Below are 9597 nucleotides of genomic sequence, written 5' to 3'. Positions count from 1 at the left end.
TCGCTTAAGCCACTCCATCTATGCTATTTTGTTATGGCAGCCTAAGCAAACTAAGACAGCTATCACAATCTCCCATCCCACAGACTCTTCTTACAATGCGACAATGACACCCCAATAGCAATGGCCCTTCCAGTGGTGGGGTCTACACCTGCTCCCCTTGAACCTAATCAGGACTTCATGACTGCCTGGACCACTAGAACATGTTAGAAGTGAAGCTATGTGACTTCTGAAACTAGGCCATGGGAATGCCATGCACTTCTACCTTGTGGCCTTGGGACACTCATGATTAGAACCCAGCCTCCATGCTATGAGGAAGCCAAGAAGCCACAGAGAGAGGCCACACAGACAGCCTACAGTCAACAACCCCAGCTGCGTCCCATTGGACAGCCAGCATCGACACCAGACTTGTGAGAGATTAGATCACAGAGCCTTTGGCTGATTCTGGCCCCCAGCCATCGAGCACTCCCCATCCTTTAAGCCACCCCAGAGAATGCTCCATGGAGCAAAGACAAACTGGTCCCACCGACTCTGCCCAGATCACAAATTTGGGAGCAATCTGTTACCAAAACACCAGGGGTTCTGTCTAGGTCCTGCTGTTCCTGCACGGGAAGCCAATCACTGAAACAAGTATTGCCAAGGAAGAAGTCTTTAATTGGGTACTGCAGCGTACTGCAGCCAAAGAGATGGGAGATCAGTGTCAAATCCATCTCCTCTGTAATTCCAGCACTTTGGCGGGCCAAGGGAGGCAGTTTGCCTGAGGTCAGGATTTGGAGACCAGCCTGGTCAACATGGCAAAACCCAGTCTCTACTAAAAATACAAAAATTAGCTGTGCGTAGTGGCAGGCGTCTATAATCCCAGCTACGTGGGAGGCTGAGGAATAAGAATCGCTTGAACCCAGGAAGCAGAGGTTGCAATGACCAAGATCGCGCCATTGCACTCCAGCCTGGGCAACAAGAGTAAAACTCCATCTCAAAAAAAAAAAAAAATTCCATCTCCTCGACCTACTAAAATTAAGGTTTATTTAGCAAGGAAGAAATGTAACTATACGTGAGAAAACAGGAACTCAGGAGGGGTAAGGAAGCAATCATGATGAATGAGCAGCCTGGCATCTCTTTGTCTGGATGTGATGATCTGGTGAATTTCAGTTCTTTGATACTTTTTGAGAGGGCTGGAGGTCCTTTCCTGAGGAAGGAACTCGGATAAAACAAATAAAGGTTTCTGCTTTAAGACCAGAAGGGTCAATTTCTATGTTTACCAAAAAAAAAAAAAACCTGTCGTCTGGGAGTAGTGGTTCACACCTGTTATCCCAGCATTTTGGGAGGCTGAGGTGGGCGGATCACTTGAGGTCAGGAGTTCGAGACTAGCCTGGACAACATGGCAAAACCCTGTCTCTACCTAAAATGCAAAATTAGCTGGGTGTGGTGGTGTGTGCCTGTAATCCCAGCTACTCGGGAGGCTGAGGCAGTATTGCTTGAACCGGGGAGGCAGAGGCTGCAGTGAGCCAAGATCATGCCATTTGCACTACAGCCTGGGTAATAGAGTGAGACTCTGTCTCAAAAAAAAAAAAAAAAAAAAAAAAAAAGGAAAGAAAACTGTCTATGGGACTATGGGTTTGGTTTCAAAACTAAATGATTGGTGTTTCAAGACACTAATTTTGGGGTGGTTTATTATGCAGCAATAAATAACCAGAACAGTGGTCATCAGAACAAATGCATCCAGGAGACTACCTGGGGGAAAATGGAGCCAAGTCAGTATATATCTGCTTTACCTCCTTTGCATGGGATTGTGGTGATTTCAGGCCACCAAACTGAGCCAAACCTCCAACATCAATACGGCGCCACAGGCTGCCAGATGAGTGTTTCTCCAAAGATCGCACCCACTTTGACAATTTCTGTTCCTCTTCAGACAGCTCTGAAAGTCTTCCCAAGGAGATTTTTTTTACTATTATTAATGTTGATCAAACTCTGGACAGAGCTTAAAGAGGACATATGTGCAGAAAGAAAATGGTAGAATCAGGAGGTTGAGCTGGAGGCTACAATAATTAAAGGTTAAACTCCAGGTATGCATTTGGTATTTATAGAATTTTCCATGCTTGATGTGAGGGTTTTAAAACCAGACTGAGCAGGGAAGCTCTTTCAGCTCTGAAAGGAAGGAAAGGATTTTAGCACAAGGAAAGGAGCCTGCCTAGTTCAAAGTTTTATAAAGGCAGCATAATTAAGCTACATTGTTGCTTCAAGTGATACTGTAGAGGTGAATGGGGCTGGGAGAGAAGGCTGTGCAGAACAAAACAAAGCCAAACAAAACACTTTATTTCCTTACCAGGCACCCTGGGCTGTCAGCAGGGGTCCCTGGGTTCTCTAAAGCTGTTGTATGCCTCTGTTGCTCCCTGCTACCTGAAGGATCCTGAGTCTTGCTTCTACCACTTGACATGAGCGGAGGCAAGTCCGGGAGGTCGGCGTTCCCGCTGCGTTACGGGTGCTACCCACGGATGCGCACGAAGGGCGCAGGTGAAGGCAGAAATAGCGAGGGCCTGGCACCCAGCTCGCCTCCCTGGCAAGCCTTGCGGCTACTCACTGAAGCTGAATGCAAACTCATTGGAATTCACTTCTGCTTTTCTTAAAGTTTTTTCTTGTCTCCTTTTTTTCTCCCCTCTTATTTTCAGCATTGAACTTCAGAGAAACTCCTCTCTGTTGTTCAGCTTGTTATCTGTTTTGTCTCCTTTCGCTTTTCTGGAGCTTTGATGGGAATGGGGCTGGGGGAGGATCAGAGGAAGAGAGCTCTGCAAGGGGTGTCTGTGCTATGGGCTCAAACTTCTCCTAGGGAGACATTTTCAAATATGCCCCACTTTTAGCCAGGCATGGTGGAACACACCTGTAATCCCACCTACTCGGGAGGCTGAGGCAGAAGGATCACTTGAGGCCAGGAGTTCAAGACCAGCCTAGGCAACATAGCGAGACACCTCTCTCTCAAAAAAATAATTAAAATCTCACACAATATGTCCCACTCTAAACCTTTTTGAATGGATGCAAAGGTCTGTAAGAGTTGTCTAAACTGGCCCTTCATTTCTTTCTGGAAATTGAGTTGCCAAAAAAAAAAAAAGGCTGGGCGTGGTAGCTCACTCCTGTAATCCCAGCACTTTGGGAGGCCAAGGCGGGTGGATCACTTGAGGTCAGGAGTTTGAGACCACCCTGGCCAATCTGGAGAAACCCCAACAACTAAAAATACAAAAATTAGTTGGGCGTGGTATTGCATGCCTGTAAACCCGGCTACTCAGGAGGCTGAGGCAGGAGAATTGCTTGAACTTGGGAGGTGGAGGCTGCAGTGAGCTGAGATCGTGCCAATGCACTCCAGCCTGGGCAACAGAGCGAGACTCCGTCAAAAAAAAAAAAAAAAAAAGAGGCTGGGAGTGGTGGCTCATGCCTGTAATCCCAGCACTTTGGGAGGCTGAGGCGGGCAGATCACGAGGTCAGGAGATCGAGACCATCCTGGCTAAAACAGTGAAACCCCGTCTCTACTAAAAATATAAAAAATTAGCTGGGTGTGGTGGCGGGCACCTGTAGTCCCAGCTACTCGGGAGGCTGAGGCAGGAGAATGGCGTGAACCCGGGAGGCAGAGCTTGCAGTGAGCCGAGATCGCGCCACTGCACTCCAGCCTGGGCGACAGAGCAAGACTCAGTCTCAAAAAAAAAAAAAAAAAAATGAGTTACTCAAATGGACTATCATGCAGCTATGGAGAAGGATGACTGTAGAGACCACATGGCAAATTGGAAAAAGGCGTAAGTGCTATAACATTAAATGAAATATCAGAACTCCAAATTGTCCAAGGTACCATCACAGCTATGTCAAAGGTATACTAGCAGCAGAGACTCAAGCATACAGCACTATTCACAACTGCAAAAAGGTGAAAGCAACCCAAGTATTCACCAGTGGATGAATGGATAAACAAGAAATGGTGTAACCATACAATGGAATATTACTCGACCTTCAAAAAGAAGTTCTGACACATGCTACAACATGATGGAACTTTGAGGATACTGTGCTAAGTGAAATAAGCCAGACACAAAAGGGCAACTGCTGTATGGCTCCACTTACACGAGGTACCTAGAATAGGCAAATTTATAGAGACAAAAAATAGAATGGTGGTTGCCAGGGGCTGAGGAAGGGGGCATTGGAGAGTTAGTGTTCAATGGGGATAGGGTTTCTGCTTGAGAAGTTGTAGAGTTCTGGAGATGGATAATGGTGATGGTTGCACAACTTTGTGAATGTACTTTAAGGCCACAAATCTGCACTTCAAATGGTTAGGATAGTAAATTTTATGTTACGTATCCTTTACAATCAGAAACTACTTTTTTAAGTGGATCAGGCAGATTGGTGATTGCCAGGGGCTGAGGGAGAGTGAATAGGGAATAACAGCTTAATGGGTACAGGGTTTAAACTTAGGGATGGTGAAAATGCTTTGGCACTAGAAAGAGCTGATGGTTGCACAACATTCTTGATGTACTAAATGCCATGATTGTTCACTTTTAAATGCTAAATTTTGTGTTATGTGAATTTTGCCTCAGTTTTGTGTTGTGTTTTAGAGACAGAGTCTCACTCTGTCACCTAGGCTGGAGTGCAGTGGTGTGATCATAGCTCACTATAACCTCAAGCTCCTGAGCTCAAGCCATCCTCCTACCTCAGCTTCCCAAGTAGCTGGGAGTACAGGCACGTGCCACCACACCTGGCTAATTTTTTAATTATTTGTGGAGATGGGTTCTCACTATGTTGCCCAGTCTGGTCTCAAACTCCCGGGCTCAAGTAATCCTCCCACTTTGGCCTCCCCAGAGTGCTGGGATTACAGGTGTGAGCCGCTGTACCCGGCTTGTCTCAGTTTTTTTGAACAGTGGATTAGAAGGAGATTGAAAGGAAACATGGAAAAATGAAAGCTGTTTAATGTGTTATAATGGGACTATTAGTGAATTCATTTTGGTTTCTGAAAAACTTGTTCAAACACAGTTTGTACAATGTATTCCTTTATGCGTTTAAGAAAAACCTGTCAGGTAGAAATTCTATTATAAAAAAGAGACTGTTAACTAGTCTTAAGACTTCTGGGGCAAGATTGTACCAAGAGAATAAGTATAAGAGGGCTGGGCATGGTGGCTCATTCCTGTAATCCTAGAACTTTGGGAGGCCAAGGTGGGCAGATTACTTGAGGCCATGAGTTCAAGACCAGCCTGGGCAACATGGCGAAACCCCATCTCTACAAGAAATACAAAAATTAACCAGGAGTTGTGTCATGAACCTATAGTCCCAGCTGCTCAGGAGGCTGAGACAGGAGAATTGTTTGAGCCCAGGAGACAGCAGTTGCCACTTCACTCCAGCCTGGGTGACACAGTGAAATGTGTCTCAAAAAAAAAAAAAAAGAAGAAAATATGAGGAAAGAGAAATTGACGATACTGCTTGTCACTTTAAAAATACATATTGTGTAGCTGGGCATGGTGGCGTATGCCTGTAATCCCAGCTACTTGGGAGGCTGAGGCAGGAGGATCACTTGCAGCCAGGAGGCGGAGGTTGCGGTGAGCCAAGATCGCCCCACTGCACTCCAGGCTGGGTGACAGAGTGAGACTCCGTCTCAAAAAAAAAAAAAGAAAAATGAGGCAGGGCATAGTGGCTCACGCCTGTAATCCCAGCACTTTGGGAGGCCAAGGTGGGTGGATCATGAGGTCAGGAGATTGAGACCATCCTGGTCAACATGGTGAAACCCCGGCTCTACTAAAAATACAAAAGTTATCTGGGCATGGTGACGTGTGCCTGTAGTCGCAGCTACTCGGGAGGCTGAGGCAGGAGAATCGCTTGAACCCGGAAGGTGGAGGTTGCAGTGAGCTGAGATCGTGTCATTGCACTCCAGCCTGGTGATAGAGCAAGACTCCATCTCAAAAGAAAGAAAGAAAGAAAAAAGAATGCTTCTAAAATACATATTATGTGTCATATATTAATACATCATTAATAATGGATATATATTGATAATCAAGAATATAAGAGATGGCCGGGTTCAGTGGCTCACACCTGTAATCCTGGCACTTTGGGAGGCCAAGGCGGGTGGATCACTTGAGGCTAGGAGTTCGAGACCAACCTGGGCAACATGGCAGAACCCCGTCTCTACTAAAAAGAAAACTACAAAGATTAGCTGGGGCGTGGTGGTACAAGCCTATAGTCCCAGCTACTCTGGAGGCTGAGACAGGAGAATTGCTTGAGCCTGGGAGGCAGAGGTTGCAATAATGTATGAGATTATTACAGTATGTCCTCACCGATCAATGAAAAAAATATTTTTAGTCTCCATGGTGTTCCTAGCATGATGTTGGGCCCAGAAGAAAGGTCAGAGATGGCTCTTGTTTTCGTGGAGTGATGCTGTAGGGCTAAGTTATGTGATGCTGACTACGAGTTCATGAAGTCAGAGAGAAGCCAAAGCACACATAGAGAATGAGCGGTGCCTCATCTGGACTTTTTTTTTTTTTTTTTTTGAGACGGAGTCTCGCTCTGTCTTCCAGGCTGGAGTGCAGTGACGCGATCTTAGCTCACTGCAAGCTCCGCCTCCCAGGTTCACGCCAACCATTCTCCTGCCTCAGCCTCCCCAGTAGCTAGGACTACAGGCGCCAGCCACCACGCCTGGCTAATTTTTTTTTTTTTTTTTTTTTTTTTGGCATTTTTAGTAGAGACGGAGTTTCACCATGTTAGCAAGGATGGTCTCGATCTCTTGACCTCGTGATCCGCCCGCATCGGCCTACCAAAGTGCTGGGATTACAGGCGTGAGCCACCGCGCCCGGCCAACCTCATCTGGACTTTAAGGATTGGTCAGGGTTTGGGCAGGCAAAGGGGAGAGAGGGGCCCTTCTAGGTGTGAGGGAACAGGCAGGGGCAGGAGCACCAGTGCTTTTGGTCCGGAGAAGGGAGGTGAGAGCGGGGAGGTGTATGGAGGGGCTTGGGGGTGCAAGGGGCAACGCTCGGCCTCTGAGCAAGTGATGAGAGCCTTATATTCAGAAGTGTCCTCTGCCAAAATGACAGTAGGCCCTAGATCCTTTGCCCTTGTACCCAGGAGGCCCAGATAGGCCACAGTACAGCCAGAGCCCCCAGCCCCGATTACAGTAGCAGCAGCACGGAGCAACTTTGGAAACCCTGTTCTCTCATTGATGGTTTATAGTTCCCAGGCCCCAAAGAGAATAACGATATGTCTAGTTAAAGATGGAGGATTGAACCCATGCATTCATTCCTCTGCTTCATTCCAAAGCTTCATTAAAATAATAGTAAAGGAATTTTTTTTTTGGAGTCGAAGTCTCCCTTTATTGCCCAGGCTGGAGTGCAGTGGCGCAATCTCTGCTCACTGCAAACTCCGCCTCCCGGGTTCATGCCATTCTCCTGCCTCAGTCTCCTGAGTAGCTGGGACTACAGGCGCCCGCCACCACGTCCGCCTAATTTTTTTGTATTTTTAGTAGAGGCAGGGTTTCACCTTGTTAGCCAGTATGGTCTGGATCTCCTGACCTCGTGACCCGCCCGCCTCGGCCTCCCAAAGTGCTGGGGATTACAGGCGTGAGCCACCTCGCCCGTCCAGTAAAGGGATTTTTAAAGGGCATTCACCTGTAAATATAAGGAGGACAGAAAAAGAGAAAACAGACCAGAGTGTTGGAAACTGGAGAGCAGAAAGTTGCAGGGTAACTAACTTATAGCGGGGCTGAGGAAGCTGACTCAATGTGGTATTGGGGATAGGTGAGAAGCTGTTCGAATCCCCTCTCCCCTCCCAAAGACTCAGAAGTGGCAACACCAGGTGCTTCTGGAAGTAAAGGTGAAACCAGGACCCAAAACAGGAGGATCCATTGAAAGTCCATTTAAGCAGCAGTCAGATATTCGGATGCCATTCCCTGCTCTGTGTACCCGAGGGACTGTTCCTTCACCCCCACCCCCTGCCCTGGACAGGACTTTTATTATGTGGACGGTTTTTTTTTTAAAGGGGGGTGGGGGAGTGTCTTCAGATAGAGAGACTAGGCATAGTTAAGGATAGGATGCCCAATTGGAAACAGGGAGATTAGGTGTAAGTTGTCATACTGAATATTGTGCCCCCAGCCAAGTTCTCCTGCCCTCTCAGCTCCTAGGAACTTGACATTCAGGCTTAGACCCTCTCAGAAGGAGACTGATACTGACATCAGAGATTTCCCAAGGAAAAGGCTTGTCCAGATCACCACAGAGCAGGGGATCTTAAATGTGAGGCTGCATTCGAATCCCCTGGAGGGTTTGTTAAAACACAGACTGCCAGGCCCTGCCCCCAGGATTTCTAATCCAGTAAATCTGGGGTAGAGCCTGAGAATGTGCATCTCTTAGCTGTTCCCAGTTGCGGTTGATGCTGCCCATCCCGGGAACACACTTTGAAAAGCACTGCTCTAGAGTGAAGTCTGCAATTGGCAAGGCTTATCTACACACATACGCTTCCCCTCAGTTTTTAAGTGCCCTGCTGTAAAATGTGGACCAGTAACTGGGGGTCACCAGGCATCTAATCTAAGGAAAGCCTCTAACATACATGATCAAGACCCAAACAAGCAGATAAAAGCAAGCTGGAGGAAATAGAGACTATGCTGAGAAATGTAACCTTCACACACACACACACACACACACACACACACACCGCTATCAATAAGGTCCCAGAAGAGGCATTATTTTAATAGCAGTAAAAAGCAGCATTCAGGGAATATAAAGGAACGTTCAGAGAATAAAATTTGAGTTATTAGAAATTTAAAATATGACAGCAGAGATGAAAAATTAAGTAGAAGCATTGGAAGGTGAAGTTGGGAACATTTCCCAAAAAATAGAGAAAAGAAAATGAGATGAGAAATAGAAAAGTTTTTAAAAAAATAATTAGTCCAGGTCGGGCACGGTGGCTCACGCCTATAATCCCAGCACTTTGGGGGGCCGAGGTGGGCAGGTCACTTGAGCCCAGGAGTTCGAGACCAGCCTGGGTAACATGGCAAGACCCTATCTCTACCCGAAATACAAAAATCAGTCCGGTGTGGTGGCAAATGCCTGTGGTCCCAGCTACTTAGGAGGTTGAAGTGAGAGTACCACTTGTGCCTGGGAGGCAGATGTTGCAGTGAGCCGAGATCACACCAGTGCACTCCAGCCTGGGTGACGGAGTGAGACTCTGTCTCAAAAAAAAAAAAAAAAAGATTATTCCAAAAGTCCAAATGAAAGTTTTAGGGAGAACAGAGAAACAAAGAGGAAGAAAACATCGAAGAAATAGTTCAAGAAAATTTCCCATACCTAAAGGACATGATTTTATAGATTGAAAGGATCATTGAATACCTAATACAATGGAAAAATAGACCCACATAAATGTATATCATTGGCTGGGTACAGTAGCAGCTCAAGCCTGTAATACCAGCACTTTGTGGGGCTGAAGTGAGAGGATCACTTGAGCCCAGGAGTTTGAGACCAGCCTGGACAACACAGTAAGACCCCATCTCTACAAAAAATTAAAAAATTAGCCAAGCACGGTGGTACGTGCAAGTGGTCCCAGCCACATGGAAGACTAAGGCAGAAGGCTCATTTGAGCTTAGGAAATTGAGGCTGCAGTGAG

The 9597-nt window shown here is 46.6% G+C and overlaps 1 annotated feature.

The window, feature by feature from the left end:
• Positions 1984–2510: an enhancer, noted in NCBI's record as "OCT4-NANOG-H3K4me1 hESC enhancer chrX:40097124-40097650 (GRCh37/hg19 assembly coordinates)". NCBI's record gives its function as "activates a minimal SCP1, AML or CMV promoter by ChIP-STARR-seq in naive H9 embryonic stem cells {active_cell/tissue: H9 hESC(naive)}" and the evidence as "EXISTENCE:reporter gene assay evidence [ECO:0000049][PMID:30033119]".

The sequence above is a fragment of the Homo sapiens genome, chromosome X (genome assembly GCF_000001405.40).
Source record: "Homo sapiens chromosome X, GRCh38.p14 Primary Assembly".
Lineage (NCBI taxonomy): Eukaryota > Metazoa > Chordata > Mammalia > Primates > Hominidae > Homo > Homo sapiens.
Note: the sequence above shows the minus strand (reverse complement) of the source record. Positions and strands in the feature narration are given on the sequence as shown.